The following is a 22,593-nucleotide window of genomic DNA, read 5'->3' on the forward strand; positions in this document are numbered from 1 at the left end:
ATAAACACTTATGTTATTTTCTTTCTTTCTTCCTTTTCTTTTTTTTTTTTCTATTTCAAACAATGCGGATGTATACATTTCTTTACAATTGCATTTCCCACTTGTGCAAATTTTCCTTTAAGATCTAGTCTCAGGAAATGGATCTGTCAGGTGGAAGGGTATGTGCCTTTTAACCCAGTAGGTATCAATAGATTTCCCTCCAAAGGTGTGGCACCATTTTATATTCCAGAACAGCATAAGAAACTGTTTCCATCACCAGAAATTATCAAACTTTTTTCTTTGTTGACTGGGAAGTAGAATCTAGACTGTCTTAAACTTATCTAGGAATTTCTCTGAGGCATTTATGAGTAGACACAAAGAGGGTGGAGGAGAAAGAGGAGGTGCATTCTAAGAAGAGGAGATACATGTAGGATATATGTAAAGTTGGGTCTGTGGAAGTGGCTAGAGTCTGGAGAGGTAGGCAGACAGCCAGATCAGAAGGGCCTGGCACACCTGCTAAAGAGGGAAAACTGGAACCGCATTCCCAAGGAATCCATGAAAATATCGTGTTGAGAAGATAAAACCAAATAGTTTGCTTTTTATTTCCACAAGTTTGGAGGAGCCATCTGTTTCTTGTCAGGGCATTGACTGATAATAGTTGTGTCTTTATAATTGGGTTGTTTTCTCCTAAAACTCAATTTAGACAAAGTAAGTGTCAGTGTGGGAGGGTTGGCTAATTGTTAGGAAGCAACATTTGGTAAATCTGGAGGCCAAACCCAAAACTTTTATATTTTTATATTCCTGGTTGTGCTTACTACTATAAAGTTAATTATAATGCTTTTACTAGAAGCTGTACATTTGAAATCAAAACACTCTATCACTGCTACTTTCCCTTCTCCCAGCATGAGGTAACAATAATATTCTTTAGGAAATTTCATATGGAAGGTTGACACCTGTTGTACTTTCCTTACCTCTCTGAATAAAATAATTCCAACAGAACACTGACAACTTTTAGAAATCCAATTTCACTGTTTCACTTGCTGATATGGTTTGGCCGTGTCCCCACCCAAATCTCACCTTGAATTATAATAATCCCCATGTGTCAAGGGTGAGGCCAGGTGGAGATACTTGAATCACGGGGGCAGTTTCCCCCATACTGTTCTAGTAAGTGAATAAGCCTCATGAGATCTGTTGGTTTTATAAATGGGAGTTCTCCTGCACAAGCTCTCTTGCCTGCAGCCATGTAAGGCGTGTCTTTTCTTTTCCTTTGTCTTCTGCCATGATTATGAGGCCTTCCCAGTCATGTGGAACTGTGAGTCCATTAAACCTCTTTCCTTTATAAATTACCCAATCTTGGGTATGTCTTTATTACCAGCACAAAAACGGACTAATACACTCGTTGAATATAAAACAGAAAAAGGAATGCCACTTTATCAGAGAGCTATAATTTCATTTGAAACAAAACAAGAAAGATTTATTTTTTCAGAACTCAGCATTTTTTTTTTTTTTTTTGAGATGGAGTTTCGCTCTGTCGCCCAGGCTGGAGTGCGGTGGCAGGATCTCGGCTCACTGCAAGCTCCGCCTCCCGGGTTCAAGCCATTCTCCTGCCTCAGCCTCCCGAGTAGCTGGGACTACAGGCGCCTGCCACCACGCCCGGCTAATTTTTTGTATTTTTAATAGAGACGGGGTTTCACTGTGTTAGCCAGGATGGTCTCGATCTCCTGACCTCATGATCTGCCCACCTCAGCCTCCCAAAGTGCTGGGATTACAGGCATGAGCCACTGCGCCTGGCCAGAACTCAGCATTTTTATCAAACAAATTCCAGATCCTAAGACATGTGTGACTAAGGATGTATTTTGGGGTAAATGAGGAAAACAAAAATGTTGAGACCTTTACTTATCTTCAATAATCAATGCATCTCCAAAATGGCGCTATTAAATCTAATCATCTTGGATTTGGTTGATATTTGGATGGTCATATTGCCGAGCTAAACTCCTTTACCTAGAATATTATAATTAGAAAAAAGTCTGAGGAATCATCTAATTCAGGCTCTCAGTTGACAAAGAATTTACCTTACTTTGGTAAAAATTTGTTTGGCTTTATGTGGAGGTTTCTCAAAAAACTTTGAATAATTATTTTCTGAAATAATATTCTAAATTGGAAATTGGAATAAAAGATCATTCACGTTCATCTTGAGTATTCACTTTAAGACTAAAGAGGGAAGTGACTTTGTGATCCAGGTTTGTGACATTGTATTTTAAAGGAGGAATTTATATTTGATCTTGGGAACAATTTTTCACATTCAAAGTCTGAGAACATCTCCGTATCAAACCCAAAGAGATTTTCTCAAGTGAAATAAAGTGAAACAAAGAAAGTAGCATTAGCAGTTCCGAGTTGCAGACAGTTCTTTTTAAAATTTGTTTTTTGGTTCTTCCAGGCCTCATTTGCAAGTTGCTACTTAATTAACTAGGGTGGTTAATGTTAGGTAAAGTCCAAAATGTAAAGGAACTACATAGCAATAACAATATTTCAGTATTTCTTCAATAAAAGTTACTGACACTCTCTATATGTCAAGCACTGGAGGGTGCCAGTGAAAAGAGATGGTCTGTTGCTATGTTCTGCATTTTCGTTGGTGAAAACAGAGAAGTTGGCTGGGTCATCAGTGTGGTACCTCTGGTAAAGCTCAAGTATAGGGAAATTTAATTCAATCTCATGTTTGAATTATTCCCTCTTAAGGGGGTAATAATCCTATTCCCATGGAGTTTTTTGAGGGCACTAAGTGATAGAACACATGTGACTATGACTAGTATAATAAATGATGTATTAAAATCATTCTATAATACATATACCGGAAAATTAATTAAGCATATGATACGAATAAATGTATGATAAGTCAGGTAAAATGCATTAATCCTAGGAATAAAACAAAGCACTGGTAATCTCTCTGAAGGTCTTAGAGCAGGAAGACTCTTGAGACAGGTCTTTATAAAAAATCACTTAGAAATTATACTTACCAATGTGTTCAAACTACATGAACTATTGAGTTTTGCTTTGTAGGATAGTGGAACGAGAAGTGAATTTGGCATTTGGAGACCTTGAGCCTTTATTTTCTCACTGCAAAATGACAGAGATAATGGGGCCTATCTTTTAGAGTTGCTATGGGTCTCAGAAAGGATCATGGTTTTTTTTTTTTTTTTGAGACAGAGTCTCACTCTGTCGCCCAGGCTAGAGTGCAGTGGCGTGATCTCGGCTCGCTGCAACCTCCGCCTCCCGGGTTCAAGCGATTCTCCTGCCTCTGCCTTCTGAGTAGCGCACCACCATGCCTAGCTAATTTTTGTATTTTTTAGTAGAGATGGGGTTTCACCATGTTGGTCAGGCTGGTCTCAAACTCCTGACCTCATGATCTGCCAGCCTTGGTCTCCCAAAGTGTTGGGATTACAGGCGTGAGCCACTGCACCTGGCCTAAGTAATTTTTTTTTTTTTTTTTTTTTTTTTTTTTTTGTGGGGGACAGAGTCTCGCTCTGTCGTCCAGGCTGGAGTGCAGTGGTGCGATCTCAGGATTTCACTGTGTTAGCCACCTGGTCTCGATCTCCTGACCTCGTGATCTGCCCGCTTCGGCCTCCCCAAGTGCTGGGATTACAGGCATGAGCCACCACTCCCGGCAGGGATCATGTTTTTAAAATTACTTGAAAATACATATATAGTCATTCAAGTATGAGGTATTATTATTTTAACAGAAATATAGCTACCTATATCTTATATTAGGTTCCTTAATCCACATATATCTCAGAATAGCACCTAATTTGAATTGTAGAATAGTATATTGAAAAGAATCTTTAACTGTTGGAGAAAAATTTGTGTGTGTGTGTGTGTGTAGGCGCACATGCATGTGTGTGAGGCTTGTCTACTTCTATCGCACATATCAGGTCGAGAAAATGTCTGTACTAAATTGCCAAGTGGTTTAGGTAAAAATTCATGGGAAGGTATAATTTAAAATTCTGAGACTCTAGCTTGTAACATTTGTAATTTTAAGGCTAAAGACATGAAAATGAACTTAAATTCAATATTCCTTCCAACAGCCTATGATTTTATAACTTTATGATTATACCATATGACCCCAACTGCCTTCTATGTATGGTGAATGGTTCTAAATTGAAGGCCCTTTATCTTCTAAACTCTTTGATGAGTTTGGGCATCTACGTCTGGATATAAGAGCTGTGGAGAGATGGACTACTTTCCATACTAAGAAGAGAAAAATTTGGAGTGTTCAGATCTCTCAGGGAGGGGATGAGGAGCAGAGATGGGATGGGGAAGGGAGAAAATGCGGGTAGAAGCCCACATCTTTAATAAAATTTATTAAATTGAAAAGGTGATTGGTGTAGGTAAGTCTCTGTTAAAAACTAGGGACAGACAGACACTGGGTCACTTGACAGAGTGGTTAGGTGTAGTATACATGAAACCACGATGCCAGGACACAGAGGATGATGTAAGACTAAGTCCCTGATAAGTTGCAGAAGGTTTTGGACTTCCACTGACTGTGGTATTGGTAGATACCTGAGCAAGATATCTGCCAACAGATATCTACCAATAGATCGTCACCTAGATCTTCAAGGGTGCAAACAGGTCCCACCTTATACCTGAGTTATACAAGTAAAACATGTCTTCATTTATTTATAAGTTTTAACCTACCTACTTCCAAAAGGATAAATGATATATTTGTTGTATTATTTATTATGATGGAACTTTTCATAGCGGAGCTAATCTAGGTCAGTGGTTCTCAAATGAGGAGGAGGTCAGTTTTGCCTTTGGTAGACAGGTATCAATGTCTGGAAATATCTTTGGTCATCACAACTGAGGGTTTCTATGGACACTTTGTGGGTAGAGGCAAGGACCCTGCTCAAAATTCCACAATGTCTGGGACAGACCCCACAGCGAAGAATATCTGACCCAAATGTCAATAGTACTGAGTTGAGAAACCCTGATGTAAGCCAACCTCTCATCTTAATAAATGAGAAGCTGAACATCAAAGAGGGTCAGTGATATGTGCCAAATCACACAGTGAACAAACAGATAAGTCCTCTAGTATTTTTCCCATTACAGTATTTAACTTCTAAGAGCTAAAGTTCTAAAATGGAACTGTTGGAAAATAGACCTTCTTATGGACATATTTAGACTTAAGGTATACTCAATAATTGCATAAATCTTTAAAACATAGTACTGCTTACAGTAGGATATCTAGGCAAAGATGAACATAGAAAATTTAATGACAATATGTATTTAACTATATACAGTAAAAACCATTTTTATAATATTTAACCAAATTACTTCCCAGCACAGTGGTTCTCAGACTTCAGCATGCCTCACAGTCACCTGGAGGAAAGGCTTACACAAACACAGATTGCCAGGACCCATCCCTAGAGCTTCTGACTCAGTAAGTCTGTCATGAGGCCCGAAAACATGCATTCCTAGCAAGTTCCCAGGTAGTACTGATGTTGCTGGTTAGGAGACCCCACTTTGAAAACCACTGTCCTAGAATTTAGTAGGTACTTAGTAAATTTTGGCTTAATATTGTAAATATTCAAACAATATAATCTCACCAAAAAATGTAATCTCACTTTAACATAGATTAGTTAATAATGTTAATTCCCATTTAGAGGAATACAAAGATATATATGGTAGAATCAAAACTAATTTAAACCTCATTTAATTCAAATTCCCCATTTTAAAATGAAAAAATTAATATATTTTAAGCTTATTACAACAAAGAAGAATCCCTTTTAGCAATAGCCAAAAGAAACAATATTAAATGCAAATCAATTATAGACAATTTGAACACTGACATTGTTATCTGAAAGATATATAAACTCAAAGATTATAAGTACAATTAAGTATGTATCCATCATTTTTTAACTTATGAGGAATAGTCTGAATGCCAAACTGAGTAAAACCTGGTCTGATGGGGCTCTTATCTCAAGCTATGTCTAGGGAAAATGCCTATTGACTTCAGTAATATAAAATCAGGCCCCGAGGGACCATAATTGTCTCTTTAAATTATTTGGGAAATCATGTACATGTTTAATCAACTAAATACAGCATACAATTGTAAGTGGTATATTTTCATCATAAATAATCAATGTGCTGCTGTTAATATGGTTAATAGAATGAAAAGTACCTTCAGGGGAATTTATTTTACGATCACTCATTTTCATTCCTTTAATTTAATTTTTAAAATGCAAGAAATTTTAGATACTTTAAAACTACCTGTTTACCTAGAAAGTATGTGCTAAGTAACCTGCCTAATGCCAGTCATCACTGAGAGACACCAAAACAAATGATTGATAGTTAACTTTCCATTTTGCTCTTTGAGATCACGTAGACAGTTTATGCAGACTTTACTTTCCTAACTCATGTCATCCTGTCCAAGGTACTGAACTTCACTTGCCAAGGACACACAGGAAGATAAACCCTCTCAAATGTGCTACATTTGTCTTCAACTTTTTAAATATCCATCTATTTTTTAGATTAGATGCCATCTGTTGTATTATCATATCTGGTTAAATCTTATTAAAATTCCTGGCCAATATATCACTCTGCTGCGGCAATCTTACCCTGCTACCTCTCTAGGCTTTTCTGCAGCATTCAATAAAGAGCCTGCTATTTTAACTAATTGCTGAGGCAGGACACAGTGTGAGAGTCTAAAACAGAATCAGCGCTATATTGTTTCTACTTTTACCCATAGAGTGAACAACTGTTCATATCAAACCTGGAATCATCCCTTCAAGTCTCCTAAACACAGCACAGTTTGAGCCAATGCAGTTAATCCACCCTCCTTCAGTGCTAGTGTCGAATGGCGCTTTTGCTGCAGTATTCACCTTGAAACTAAGTAGGCAGGATTCATTATTTGTTGAAGTCACCTAACTGCCAGTTTATTCTTATACGATCACAAACAATCACAACAGAAGACAAATACAGGCATATATATAACTCACTTACAAGGGAAGCAAATTTGCAGCCAGAGACAAGGGCAACGTAACAGCCAAGAACTGCAGTAAATCTCTTTGAGCTAATAGCCACCTCTAATAATGCTCTCCTACAACACCTCCAATCAAATAAATTGTATTCAGAGTTTAAATATCAAATCAACATTCATTCCTTGATGGTTACAGATGATGTCCGATAAGCAAATTTGAATTTATGATTTATTTACTCCTTAAGTGTCTCAAAGCCAGGATTACTGGAAGACTTACTATGCTTATTCAAGCATGCTGACAGAACTGTAATCTCAGTAATTTCTCCCTGCACCTCTCAGCATGACTGACAGGCATCTGCCAAGACTGTAGTACATAAACTGCTGAAACATGCAAAAATATTTACCCCCAAAAGATGTAGTAAAAGCTCAGCTTCCTCCAGCTTCCATAACCCCTGAAGTGTTAATCTGGAGGAACAGTTCCATGAGTTTCCACAGGCCAGCAGTGTGTCTCCTACACTTGACCTAGACAGCCTTACATAACGAAGCACCAGTGCTGGGGAGCTCTCTGAATGTCATCACCAGCAAGAGCAAGAAGTATTGGCAGCAGCAGGCAGCCAGGCAGGCTGGGAGTTTGCATGGAAATCATGAAGTCTTTCTTGTCTTCCTCTTTTGAAATATTTTGGAAGGCGAGTTAAGAATAGCTCAGAAACTGGTCTCATTCTTTTTGTGGGAAGAATGACCAGAAGCATAAAAGCTAAGTCTTCCAGCAAGTGCAAGACACCTCTTTTGGTGTTTGCAGTAAACCTAACAAGAATGAATTGCTATCAGTAAAGTCCTGTACCATGACACCTAAAAGGAAGGAAATGGTAAAGCAAAGTAATAACTCAAAGACAGTCACCGAGGGCTTTTGTCCACCTTTAACTCATTGTGGTGAGTAGAGGGAAATATGTATATATGTAATGAGATTATTATTGGGGGTGTGAGTTGTTTTGCAGGATGGTAACTAAAGGATTTGTAAAGAGTGTTTATGTTCCTTAAAGATCTTGTTTGTGAGCAAGGTAATAGGATATCAAATTCAGAACGTGGTGGGTTAAACTGGTTGTATTTAATGTATTTCAACTTCTGAAAATCTTATGCAACTAATAAGAAAGCAGATCTCTGCCTATGGTGGGTTGCCGATAAATGTCAGATGTGTTAATTAATTACTTCTATTGTCTATACTGAAAAATAAGATCTTAATTTTAGCTTTCAGATTTTGCATATAATCAATCTTTTAGACTCTGAAAATAATTTCTTATAATGGAGCAAGAGGATTGCTGTGCTTTTGAGATAATCTGTGTTAGACTTACTCCTAGATATCTGGGGGATAATGTGAACAGCAAATTTAAAACAATGTACACTCCATCTAATTTTCTTTCAATTATCCCAAATGTGTGCAATGCAAGTTATGCTTTTAAAAGCTAGAAATAATAAAACCAGTCTTCTATTCTGATTTTGAGTATGGTGATATAGTATTATTAATAAAAGATGACATTATATTGTTTAATTATATATAAAATTGTGGTTTGATATGAGTTGTTGGCTAATATGTATAATTCCTGAGGTAACAGAAATAGAGAAGGAACCACACATCATTTAAAAATAATCTTAATGTTCTGCTCTTAGCTGGGAAACCTATCTGCTAATGCATCACACTAAGTAGAGTGAGGAAATAAGAGAATTTAGATCTATGAGGGAACACAGTGATCTAATTCCAACCCATTACTTAACTCATAAGGAAACTGAGGTAGAAAGAAGTTAGATGATATGCCTGACATAGAGGAAGAGGTGAGTGAAAAATGGTTTTCCTGACACTAACTTGTTATTTTGTCAGCTATACTGCAATGAATAATTGTCTTTTGATACTGGAGTAAAGGCTTGATGTACAGTGATTTTTTTATATCATACAAATGACAGAAAAAAAAAGTGGAGTAGTACTAAATATCTGCTTTTAGCAGTAGTCTGATTTTGGAAAAACAAGTTCTGTACTGATTGGAATGAGAAACTTTCTTCAGTTATTTCTCACAACAGTAATGAACACATTGGTGCAACATTTAATTAAATATTCAATGATGAATTTGTGTTCTGAACATTAAGCTATGTACACCAATTTGTTGGCTCAGATCCTTTTATTTTATTGATGTTGATTATGGTGCTAGGCTTCTCTATCCCTTGGAGAGCTAATGTATGTGAAACAAACAACCCTCAGGAAGCAAAGAACTGGAAAATAGAATGTTTTTAAAAAATATTCTGTCTTATTCTTTTCAAATAAACTAAGCCTTTTGTAATCAGGTGTGTGTTTTTCATTCTTGCATCCCTGCCCCTAGCACAATGCTTTCTGGGCCTCCAATAAGTGTTTGCTGAATGAATCAATGGAGGGATGAAAAGTATTCATAATGTGTCCCTCCCTGTATAGGAAGTGCATAGAGTATGGCCTAGTAGAGTTATTTGGAGGAGTCATTTTAAGAAGTGTATAAAAATGTTTTACTAATATATATCAGTTTAATAATTGCCAAAGTAAATGAATGCTTCTGAAATGCACGTTTGGAAACGGTTAAAAGATTTTTTTGGCACATTCTTCTAATTGGATCAACTTGGTATAGGTTTGGCTGCTTGTAAGAGATAATCAAACATATACTAACTTAACCAAAATAGAAGTTCGTTTTTCTTAAGTGACATTAGTCTGAAGGTAGGACTTCACAGTCTTCAGAGGCCTAAGCTCATTTTTCTTCCTCTCAAACATCCTCAGCTTGTGACTTTCATCCTTCTATTTGTTGCTTCATGGTCTTGAGATGGCTGCCTCACTTCCAGCATCCTAACTACATGCTAGGGAGAAGGATAGGAAGACCAAAAGGCATAAGACACATGCCAGCTAAATCAGGTTCCTCCAAGAGCTTTCCCAAACCCCCTAGAGATTTTAACTTATAGCCTATGGGTCATAACTGTGAAAAATGGCTGCTCCCTCCTGCAAGGGAATGTGGAATCACTGTGTTTTTAGCTGAGCCCATTGCCACCCCTAAATAAAGTTGGGGTTCTGTTTTTAAGACAAAGGATGTATTTCCCCCATATCCATTTTCCATTAATATATAGTTTTGGTTACTGGTAAAATCTTTAAAAATTCAGTGTGATTGGTTAGTCTAAGCTGATTTGTATTCCTAAAGAGCAAAAAGTCTCCTCATTTTATATCTGAGCTTTCTATGGAAAAAAATTATCCTACTTTTAGAAGAGAATGTTACTTGGGAAACAGATGGGTTTATAACTATATTGTAGTCAGATAGATGTGAAGAGAAAACTGTAGACAGACTTTTCATAATGAAAAATGAAAATAATCCCATGCCCTATTTCATCTCACATTCACCCTACAAAATAAGGTTGTCTGAAGTTTTTTTCTGAAAAGATTCTCACTGGAAGAATAGATAGGCATTGAATTAAAGCTTCAACCTTTGGAATCTCTTCAATTACTAAGCAAAATTTTATCTCACTAATTTAGAAAGGAGGCCTTTAATGAGTTTTTTTTTTTTTCCTTTCTTTTCCACTTGTTATCTTGCTGGAGTCAGCTACACTGAATAGCATGTGGCTCCCCCTGGCTGGTCCATGGAAGGTCTTTGTAAGTTCTCCTAATTCAGTCTCAACAATGCCTCTGTAGACCAGAATCTGTTCTTCACATTGGCACAAGAAATAATTTGAAAGGTCCTAGAACATGATAGTCCCTCTATCCAAAAACTTACTTTAGACTTGGAGAATGTTTATGGGCAGGCTGGAATAGCAGCTCTCTAATTTTAGAGGAGCAAATGATGGTCTTCTTAGTGTCTATTAAACCCAATTTTTCTATGGAAGATAGTTGACTTCTGAATCCAGATCGCCATCACCTTGGAATATCCTATTCAAAACCAATTGCATATTACTTCACTAAAAAGCTCTACTTCACTAAAAAGCTTCATAGAACATAGCATTCATTTCACCCTCTTAAAGAAATAAATAGGGAAAATTCTTTGTCAAAAATCAGACTATATCAAGACTAACTGGAGACTGCAATATTAAAAAATACTTAGTAACTGGCAGGTATAGATTTTGTAAGTCACAAACTCAAGGTAGAACAAAGTATTAACTTTCATCTTTTTTTATAAATTAATTTGGTTTATATTCTTTTTTACCTAATTGTGGAAAATCTTATTTAATTATTTGTGAGCCCACTGAATGACATTCTGCTTTTTCAGTTATTTCATGTTGAATACACTAAAATGTGAGATTTTTATTTTTGCCCTTTATATTAATTGGAACAACCCTTGTTTCAGCAACAAATACACTCCCAAATCTTGGTGGCTTGATACAATGAAATTGTATTTCTTGCTCATGAAAAGTTCTACGTGGTTGTTCCCAGTTGGCAGGTGGCATTCCATGTGATCATTTATGGATTCAGGATTCTTCAGTCTTGTGGCACCTCTTGCTTCTAGGTACTCAGAGTCAGCTGATGATGGAAAAAGACATCATGAAGAATTACACCTACCTCTTCAGCCCAGAAGTGACATACATGGCTGGCTTATATTTCAATGGTGAGAAATAGTCATATAGCCCCGTTAGATGCAACGGAAGGCTGAGATATTCCCCTAGCTGGGCAGCCACTTCCTAGAAGGCAACATGAATTTTGGTGGTCACCAAGCTGTCTTTGCCTACCTTTTATCTTTGCAGTTGAAGCAATTTAAAAACATATGTTATCTTTTTGCCAATTATTGTTTAAAAATTAAATTAGAGAACTGAGAGGATTTAATTTTAGGGGGGAGTAAATTCCATTATGTTGGTGCTATGATTGATTCTATTTTGCACATACTTTTTCTTCTACTCACAGAGCCAAGAGAAACTTCAGTATAGATTTTCCAGTTGTTACATCATAGTATCTAGGATTCCAGTCTCTTTTACATTTTAAACAAAGCATCCTAAATTGCAACAGTTCTACATACTAGGAGGAGCATGGATGATCAATATGAACTTTAAAAGGGTTAGTTCTGAACCCATTCTGATGGTAGCATCCAGCTAATATCCAGCTAACATTTCTGTATTTCAGGTAGGATATAAGAAGGGACAAGGAGAAAGGGGTAGAGTCTATATCAAGAAAGAAAGCTGGTTGTGGTGGCTCACACCCACATCCCAGCACTTTGGGTGGCCAAGGTGGGAGGACGGCTTGAGCCCAAAAATTTGAGACCAGCCTGGGCAACATAAAGAGTTCCTATCTCTACCAAAACAACAAAAAAAGTCAGGCATAGTGGTGCATGCCTCTGGTCCCAGTTACTTGGGAGGCTAAGGTGGGTGAATTATTTGTGCCCAGGAGTTCAAGGATGCAGTGAGCCATGATCACGCCACTGCTCTCCAGCCTAGGTGACAACAGAGCAAGACCCTCTCTCTCAGTAAAAAATAAATTTAAAAAAGTTCTCATAAATCCTTAGTTAACATCTTACTATGTATCTAATTGCCTGGAATTGTTATATGGCTATTTACAGCAGCAAGGGAGGAGGCTGGAGAAACATAGCTTTTAAATTGGATTCATAGATGTTTCAAACAAAACTCAGTTCTCTTGGTAAGGAAGAAGGAAGGAAAGATATGTGGCAGGCAAATAACAATTTCGGCCTCAATATTAACAGCCCAATTAATCAGCCTGAAGTGATTATAAACTTGTTTTACACTTTCCAGAGGATTTAGTATTGTGGGTATGTGTGTGTGTGTGAGACAGAGAAAGAGAGAGAGACATACACACACACACACACACAGAGAGAGAGAGAGAGAGAGAGAGAGGAAACAATGGAAGAGACTTGATATTATAAGAAAATTGGGGATGGAGAGGACAAAGAATAAGCTCTAGAAAAAGACAATTTCAGAATATTTTGAGATAAACCCCAAATAAACGATGAAGGATATTCTAGAATAATGGAGAAATAGATTACAGTTCAATAGAAACACAAAGTGGTCTGAAAAATATATCACTGGAGCAGGTATGTTTATGATTAGTGCCCTGTGTTGGAACTGAGAAGGACGAGGCTCAGGCAGGATACTGTCCTTAGTAATAATGCCTGAGGAATCTGCTTATTCCAAGTGATCTATTTCATAAGGGAGCTGAGGAAAAGCAACTGTTCTTTAGTGATTCCACAATCCAAAGTCCAGTTTGTCTATCTAAATATATGGACAATAAATAAAAAGATCAAAGAGGATGTTTTACCAGACAGGCCAGCTAATGCGGTGACTAAGGTGGATGGCCAACACAGATGAGGTCCTCTAGCTCTAGTCAGTGTTGGGGTTTTAAGTGTCAGTTGCTGTTTTACACTACATATGTTGCTTTGAATCCGACATCTAGCAAGAAAGAGGAAGGGAAGGGGGGAGAGGGAGGGAGGGAGGGAGAGAGAGAGAGAGAGAGAGAGAGAGAGAGAGAATGTTAATTGGTGTTGAGGATGAACCCCTAGGCAATCTAGAAACTGCTTTCATTTAAAAGAGTTATGTAACCTAGTGTTTAATGAGTCAGGGGTTTTGTAGATTTATAATTTTGCCTTTCTGCATTTTTCAGTCTTGGATTCTCTTCTGAACCTGCAGGGATATGTACAAAGTAGTTGTTCTACTTAGTCCAGGAAGAAGCACCCCCAAAATTTTCTGTTCTCCTTACCAGCTGCCTGACTTCGTTATGCACACGCACACCCACCACTAGAACTTCTCAGTTTTGAAATTAAAAGAGAATCATCTAGGTCAGGACATGAGTGTGGATGGGAGGATGCAGGGAGGCAGGCAACTGGAAAGAAGGAAGAGCTAAGTGTTCAATTTTTGTCCTTTCTGGCATTTTCTCTTTTCCAAGTTGGTTTCCCAAGTGAGATCTCAGAACACACAGTCCCTGGTTAACTCTCCAGTACATTAGATTATCTCTGATTTCACCCTAAAAGGCCTAAATGGCTGGCACAAATGTACTGTCGTTTCTTTTCTGGGATCCCCACATCTAATTTTTAGTCAATCTCCACATAGTTAGCTTTCTCAGGAACTCCCTTCTAGATCTGTGGATAAGTCTCAGACCAGATCAAGAGTTTACTTTTACACCCACTTATTTTGGCCAGTGTTCTAGTATCATTGAATTGCTTACAGGCATGAGAGATCTTTATGCTATTTCAAGCCTCTGTGAATATGCTCAGGCTGCTTTCCATCAAGGGCATTCATCTTCCCTCGTTCCACCAAGACCTGGCTTCACCATTCCATCCTCAGTCCTTTCCCAAAAGTCAAAGGACACTGATACACTACTAAGTGTCAATTACACCTATTATTGATTAGGTTTAAGAACCAGTTCTTTCAGACTGCCTTTCCTGATTCCTCTACCCCCATCTTAGTGGAAAGGATTCCCGCTCACTGGGATGGTGCTGTGGACTATAATAAAATTCTAATGTGCTTATACTTTGTTAAACATATTTGCCTATATGTCACCAATCTCAAGTAATTAGCTAATTATTTGAAAGCAAAGATTGTGGATTATTCATCTTTGAATTTTCAGCACCTAAAACAGAGCCTTACAAGAACACAGTATGCATTCAACTATAGTTCTTTGCCATTAAAATTGTAATTATTGATAGAAATGAAGATGAACCCTATCTATTTTAAGAAAGCCAAATACATGCAAGCATAGATTTATTGAATAGAAAATACTAGGGATAATGATATGTCCTATAAAAAGATGCTCACTTTGTAAGAGATCACCAGGTTATCATAGAAAATATCATCTAAAAATTATCTTTACACTCAGTTCACTCCAGAAAAAAATTATTTCTTAAAATAAGCAACATCAATACTTCAAAAATCCAATTGAAGGCAATTGTTTGTTTTTTTAAAAAAAATTATATCTGGTTATAGTAGCAGCTCCAGTTTGACTATTATCTGCCTATTTTATTAAATCCATGTATAAGAATTTAAAATTACCTCTCTTTTGAGAAGCTAGACATTGGTAGTCTATTTTATAAAATACGCTAAAAATTATAGAAATGACATGTAGACTTTATGACATATCTTTAAATTCAATATTTTTGTCCTATATTATATATGATGTTTTAGTTTCTCAAAACTCTGACATTTGGTTTATTATTTTATTGCTATAGCAATCCTGTAATAGGTGTTGAACATATTTCATGACTCTACCCCACAGTTCCCTTTAAAAACACATGGAGGAAGAGTGCACATGACTCTTCCCAAATCTCACAGTTAGATTACTGACTGTTCCCTTCTAATTTATTTACTTACTTTTGGAATTTATGTTTGCCCATGATAGGCCTCCATTCTGTTCAATGTGCTCAGTACATTTATTAGTGTATCAGCAATTCAAGCAGTCAACAAACACTTCTTCTGTGTCACCCTTTGTTTATTGTTTCTGCAAAATCTTCAGGCATTTTTAGTCAGATTTTCAAATTAAGCTATTGTACTTTGAACCCAGCTTTAGCAGTGCTATACTCAAATAGCAAATCTTAGCTCCCTCCTACATTTTTGTGTTAATATCTATGAGTACATAGAACTCTAAACCAGCAGAGTGCTCTCTGCTTAAGGCCAGAGTTCTCCTGGAGGTGGAGAACTAAGGTTATATTTTCTGTACTGCTTAATCCAGACCGAACTTTTTCTGTTTGTTCTTTTGGCCTCATCTCTTTCCCACCCCCTCTTCACAGCCCATGCCCCTCGCCCCGCTCCCAGGTTTTCAGTTGAAGAAAAGACCTGGAAAAATTAGATAACTTGCATGAGGTCACAAAGCTAGTTGGCAGCAGGGCTGGGCCAATAAATAGGATTTCTTGACTAGAGTCAAATAAATGAAAAATCAATATAACTGAAATGAACAACAAACAATCAAGATTTGTTTTTGTGGATACAGCTGGATTACAAAAATTTTAAAATGTATTCCACTTAGCAAAACCTCTAAACATGTTCTTTATAGTGACAGTATATATTCTGAGACTTCCTCTTCTTGTTCTTGTAAAAGAAGTTGATGAGAACGTTGGGCTAATGGCAGATAAATGTGAATCATAATTTATATTTGTATAAGTATGTCAATAGTTTAGAAAGATTATTTGATCCTCTAGAAGCTTGGATTCTTACCAAATCCATGTGAGGTGGCGCTATGGTTTGGATATTTGACCCTCCAGATCTCAGGTTGAAATCTGATTCCCAATGTTGGAGGTAGGGCCTAATGGGAGGTGTTTGGGTCATGGGTGGATCCCTCATGAATGGCTTGGTGCCATCCTTGCAGTAATGAGTGAGTTCTCATGCTATTAATTCCCAGAGAGAGCTGATTGTTAAAAAGAGCCTGGAACCCTCTGCTCTCTCTTGTTTTCTCTCTTACTATGTGATCTTTGCACACACTGGCTCCCCTTCACCTTCCACCATGAGTGGAAGTTTCTCAAGACCCTCACCAGAAGAAGGTGCCAGCACCATGCTTCTTGTACAGCCAGCAGAACCATGAGCCCAATAAACCTTTTTTGAAAAATAAATTACCTACCCTCAGGCATTATTTTATAGCAACATAAAGAGACTAAGACAGGCGAGTAAGGCAGTCATTTACCTGATTCCATGCTCCTGTTAAGATGGAACCCAGGATTCATTCCAGGTAGTGGAACCCTGTGTGTTGCACTCTATGCAACATTTCACACTGTAGGATTCTACTAACCCAGTGCAGTGCTACAAGGATGTGAGGTGAAAAATAAGAGAGAAGAACATCAAATTCTAACCCAACCCTGCCACAGAGAATCTCTGTTACCACTCAGGCTCCCACTTTGAATTTTGAAAGTGAAGATCATGATTTCAAAGATGGGCTCAGACTTGTGAAATCTAGTGATGAACAGATATTCAGAAATGCCAAGCTCTGATATTATTGTGAGTAACAATTAGTTCCCAGATGATTTTTATTTTGGGGAAGAAAATCTCAGAAGTGATTAGTCAACTAGCCGAACAGCTGCAAAAGTCTTCATATTTGAAGACATTGCCCTCTTTTCAGAGGACAGGCAATAGAGCTCCAAATGCAAGCAGATTTTGCACACACCAGGAATTACTCTGTCAGCAGGCTTAATTAGGTAGAAAAAGTTTCCTCTGATTCCAATAGTAAGGCACATTATAAATCAATGACTCACAGAATTTAGAGGTTGGAGGAAACCCCGATTTTGCTATTGCCCCACTTGGCTAACTTAGCAAGTACAGAAGATGGAATTTGACTTCCATTAGTGTTCCTTTTAAAGAAAAAATATTTCTAGAACACACCCAATCTTTCTTTAGTAATGTAAAACATTTTAAATTTAACACGTTAGTGGTTTGACGTTTAATATTTTGAGCCCTAATGAATTCTGTTTTATTTAATAGACAATAACATTTGATATATTATACTTATGAATGCTTAAAACACGTAAGTTAGGCCATTTTTTAACACAAACTTATTATACAGAACAAAGCAGAAAAAAATATCACTTATAACACCACATGCTGACCATATTCTCTCTATAATCCTGGTTCCTTAGCATTCAGGGCAAATTTTGTAGGGGAAAGTGGGACTAATGATATTTCCCTCAGGGAATTGTTGTAAACTTTACTGGGAAAATATATGTTAATAACTGGCACATGATAGGTGGTCAATAATGTTCATTTCTAACCTTCTTGCTGCCCTCATGTAAAGACAGGAATTTTTATCCCTAGTAAGCCAAAGGAGGACTACTTTTAGCCAGGTAAATCTTCAGATTCAACTAGATTAGAAATTTTTTCTTTGAGTTTTTTTTAGAAAATTCTTTTGTATTATGATTTATCTGTTAAAGGAAAGGTAGGAAGGTTGGAAGTGTTCCTTATTCATATAGAAAGCCCACTTTCAGTGTATGTGCTAGCCAGTGATCCACTGATTGATTGAGCTTCCCAAGTATCCTTACTTCTGATGTACTTAGCCATCTGCTGTGTCCTAGCTAACCCTAGCTAAAAGCAAGGAATATTCACTGACCACCCAGTTCTTCTTCTCCTTCTCCCCCCATCTTCTAGAAGTAAGCACTCAACTCAATCCTTGTGGATAATTGAAGGTCTGGGAAATATATAACATGGACAATATTACACTGTATGATCAGTGTTGTATTAAGCCTTAAAAATGTAGCATATAAATTTGTTTTTGTCAAATGGAAAGACAGAATAAAACGGATACATTGGATTTTAAAGGAGAATAACACCACCTCCTTCTCTGGTGGACTGAGACATGTTTTTGGGAAAAGTGGGATTTGGATAGAAAAATGGAGGTGGGGACATCACTGAGAAGAATGTATAGTAAAGGGAAAGAGTGAACTGGTTAATCCTCCTTGAAAGAAAAAGAAAAGGAGAGGAGTATCCCAGAAAGAAGGAAATGGTCAGTTTATCTGGAGTTAAGCATTTGTGTATTATCATGATTAATCACAGGAACAGTTGCCAAGCTTTCATTATAAAAATATTCTCCAGGAGAATTCATCAAGTTCCATTGCCTATTAATTTCTGTCCATGCATTTTATTTGGCATCTTCAATGACAGAGGACACTTTTAAAAAAAAGAAATGAAGACAAAAGAAAAAGTTCATTAGAGAAATAATGTATGTGTGATATTTAAAAATTAAGCCACATCATCATCCTAAGAAAACTACGAGACTTTAGTTTTAGTATAAACTTGCAGTGTGTTCTTGAGATTTCTAAATATAAGGCTTAACATTTTTTCCTTAATACACATCGATTTGGCATCTCATATGTATTATTTATCAGGAAATTATAAAACAAAGTAAAATGATGTTTTACTAAAATGCACATCATTTTTAGATATGGGATTTTAAAACTTGATTTATAATACTACTTTTACCATGAAATACTCTTTTGTTGTATGACCTTGAGTACATTTCCCATCTGTGAATCTGTGTAATCATGTACAAAAATAAATGAGACAAAACCTAAGTGCATTTTAACCTCTTCAAATTGTAAAAAGTGTATAATATTACATTTTCAAAAGAAAACACAATCCTTTTTTATTTATAGCCTTTTTGAAAACCGTGTTAATAATAAACAGAATCTGCAAAGTTCAAATCATTTTTTTTTTTGTTAGGTGGCATGAGACTTTTTTTAGGACTACAAACCAGCATCTAGCCTAGTTAAATCTTAATTTCAAAACCAACTTCCTAAAGAAACTTAATGAGATAAAGGAAGATTTTAGAAGGAGATCTTCTTTCTGTTCCTGGTGGGGAATAGCAAGGACTCCTGAAATATGTATAATTTAACACTGATAACAACACAAGGCTTAGCAGTTCCAAAGTGTATCACAGATAAAATCACACTTGACCTAAATGACCTTATAAAAGCTAATGTTGTATTCAAGCCTCACCACTGAAACTGGTAAAAGTATGGCTCTCTTAGGAATGTGTGCCATCTTCCATGTGGAGGACATACCCACTGAGGGACAACTGCTGATGAATGGTTACTCCACTTCTGAGCATAGCCAAAGAGTCCCTCCGGTCAGGTTATCATCTCTTCTCAGTTCCTCAGTAGGAAGACTGAGCTCCAACTCTGAATCAAAGTGAGTTAGAGAGAACATTTGCAGATATAAACTAGCTCAGACTACTGATTAAGCAGACTACTGATTAAGCATTACTGTTTCATCTCTAGCAATAGAAGTGATGGTTTGTGTGTTTTTCTTTTTTAGAATCCCTGCAATAAAGCCTATGGCAAGTTTCTGCATATTACTGGTTTCTCACAGCCCTGAGAAACTCTTTCAGACATTTTCTTAAGCCTGGGACCTATATGGGCATGAAATTCTAGCTACACATGAATAAATAATATCAGTGCTAATAGTGCATACACTTTTTGTTGTGAGGTAATTTTGTCCTAAATACCAATTGCTATACATTTTTAATTTCCCAGAATAAATCAAACTTTCCTTTACAAAGTGGCTAATGAAAGAGTAAGCCCTTATTCTGTTTTTCCATTTGACAAAAACAAATTTATATGCTACATTTTTAAGGCTTAAGAACATAGAAGACTCTCTATTTCCCAAAGTAGATGTGAATTTTCTAGTTTCCAGTACAACTTTTTAATATTTAAAGTTTAGTAAATTGTGGAAGCCAAAATAAAGCTATGATTTTACAAAACATAATTCATAATAAATCTTTATTCCAAATCATTTGTAGTTAACGATAATATAGTGAAAAAATCATAGGAAAACTCAGACAGATCTGGAGTGAGATTCTGGCTCTACCAATTAATAGTATTATGGCTTGCAGAACTTGCTTAAATTTCATGAGTCTTTGATCTTATCTGTTAAATGGAGATGATATTCTAAAATCATAGGATTGTAAAATAAGATAATGAGGTAATGTGTTCAGCATATCAAAGGCATTCAGAAAATACTACTCTTCTTTTCCACTGTCCTTAATCAAGTTGAAAGCATAGAGTGGGAATTTAATGAATGCATCACTGAAAAACAAAAACAATAAAACCTTTATGATTTTATCCTAGGCCTTCTATTTTTCTCACTTTATAAACTTCTAGGCCATATTGATCACTTTGTTGGATACAGTTACCACCTATGTGCTGATGGTCTCCAAATTCCTATTTCTGGTTCAAATACATTTCCTGTTCTTTAGACCCTTATGTGTGCTTTTTAGTATATGTCTCTGTTAAACTTACTTTAAATTCAACATTTCCAGAGCTGAGTTTCACATTCACACAATTGCACTCCCTCCTACCTTTAAAAAAATACAATGGCAAACAATTGGCTTCTCTTGCTTTGTTTCCTAGCATAGGTGCCAAAGCCAGAAATTTGGGTTACAACTTAGACTACTCCCTGTCTAAATTTTTTACATTCAGTCATTAAGTCCTGCCCCTTCTACTTCTTTCAGGTCCATTTAAAACTCTCCATTCTTCCTGTCACTACCCCACTGCAGGCCACCACAATCTGTTGCCTGGATTTTTGCAACCAATTTTCAGCTAGTCGGTCTGCCTCTAGTCATGCTTCTCTCCAGTCTATTGCTCATATTACAGCCAGAAAGACCTTTCTTTCTTTCTTTCTTTCTTTCTTTCTTCCTTCCTTCCTTCCTTCCTTCCTTCCTTCCTTTCTCTCTTTCTCTCTTTCTTTCTCTCTTTCTCTTTTTTACAGAGTCTCGCTCTGTAGCCCAGGCTGGAGTGCAGTGGCACAATCTTGGCTCACTGCAAGCTCCGCCTCTCGGGTTCACGCCATTCTCCTGCCTCAGCCTCCCGAGTAGCTGGGACTACAGGTGCCCACCACCACTCCTGGCTAATTTTTTTGTATTTTTAGTAGAGACGGGTTTTCACTGTGTTAGCCAGGATGGTCTCGATCTCCTGACCTCATGATCCGCCCACCTCGGCCTCCCAAAGTGCTGGGATTACAGGCATGAGCCACCGCGCCCGGCCCCCAGAGAGACCTTTCTAAATATAAAACAGGTTGTGTCTCTTCCATGCCTAAAGCCCAGGCCTTTCATTGTCGTAACCTGATTTATTAAGACATATCTTTAACATGCTTTACTTACAACAAGGTGCACTTTCTAGATGCTACCCTCACCCACAGGAACTCAAACATTCATTGTGGTATTGCAGCCAAGAGCTCTTAATTGTGGCCCTTCCTGGGACTTTTCCTAGGCAGAAGAGGACCTGCTTGCCCAAGGTCACGTCCTTCCTGGTGGGTAGCCTATATAGACTATGTCCAATGCATGCACCACTTGGGGTATAAAATTCTAGCCCCCATCCCAAATGGGAACAACTCTGAAGGTCCATTCCAATGTCAGAGTTCTCCATGAAATTGTCGGAATCCTTTGTTGCGACTATATTATAGCCAAATTTCTGCCCCTGCACTTACAGAGAGAAGGTGAGCAGTTGGCTTTCATTGCTTCCCCACAGGTATAGACCTTGGAAGCTCTGCCCATAAACATCCCATATGAAAACCTCAACCTCTGAGTCTGTTTCCAAGAGACTCTGCCTTTGACTCAAGACTTTAGACTTTTCTATGGACTATTTAGCATTTAAGCATCACACTGCATCACTTCTTCCCTTTGCATTCTATATTCTGCCCAATCTGAGCTAATTTCACTTCTTCAAATATATGGTGCTCTACCTGTAGGCCTTAGCACTTGTCCTTTCTTCTATCTGAGCACTCCCCTACCTCACTCTTCTGGTTTCTGCTTAACTGGTTTCAGGAGGCTCAGACCCAGGTACTAGTTAAGTGCCTCTCCTTCGTGCTTTCCTGGTACTTCCTTCTTTAGAGCACTCACCACTTGCATGTTGTATTGGCCATTTCTAGGCTGTATTATTGACTGGCTGTAGGCTCTGTGAGGAAAGGGAATTGTTTGCATTATATCTTAGTACATTTCACAACGTTTGGCAAATGCTAGTCTCTCAAAAATATTTGCTGAATGACTGAAAGGGTGAATGTTTTATTTAAGACTGGATTTACATTGGTTGTAATTAAGAAATTTATGGAAGAGGAATTTACATGTTTATTTAAGAATGATCATGCATATTTTGCTTGAGAACTTTAGTCTTTGTTGAATATATGTGTGAGTGCTTATACGTTTGTGTATTAATTCAGACACAAATAATCATTAGCCCATATATTATTCAAAC

General features: G+C 37.2%; 1 protein-coding gene and 1 long non-coding RNA gene across 5 annotated transcripts in view; one reads left to right on the forward strand and one right to left on the reverse strand.

The window, feature by feature from the left end:
* SCN1A (sodium voltage-gated channel alpha subunit 1) overlaps window positions 1-7,468 on the reverse strand; it is a 164,521-nt gene extending 157,053 nt beyond the window's left edge. For all 4 annotated transcript variants that reach the window (NM_001353949.2, NM_001353958.2, NM_001353950.2 and 1 more), the window contains exon 1: window positions 7,354-7,468. The gene's annotated coding sequence lies outside the window, so the exon portion shown is untranslated. The remainder of the gene's footprint in view (window positions 1-7,353) is intronic.
* Window positions 1-22,593, forward strand: part of SCN1A-AS1 (SCN1A and SCN9A antisense RNA 1) — a 220,254-nt gene that overhangs the window by 60,163 nt on the left and 137,498 nt on the right. The gene's annotated exons all lie outside the window — the stretch shown is intronic.

This window comes from Homo sapiens, chromosome 2 (assembly GCF_000001405.40).
Source record: "Homo sapiens chromosome 2, GRCh38.p14 Primary Assembly".
NCBI classification, from domain to species: Eukaryota; Metazoa; Chordata; class Mammalia; order Primates; family Hominidae; genus Homo; species Homo sapiens.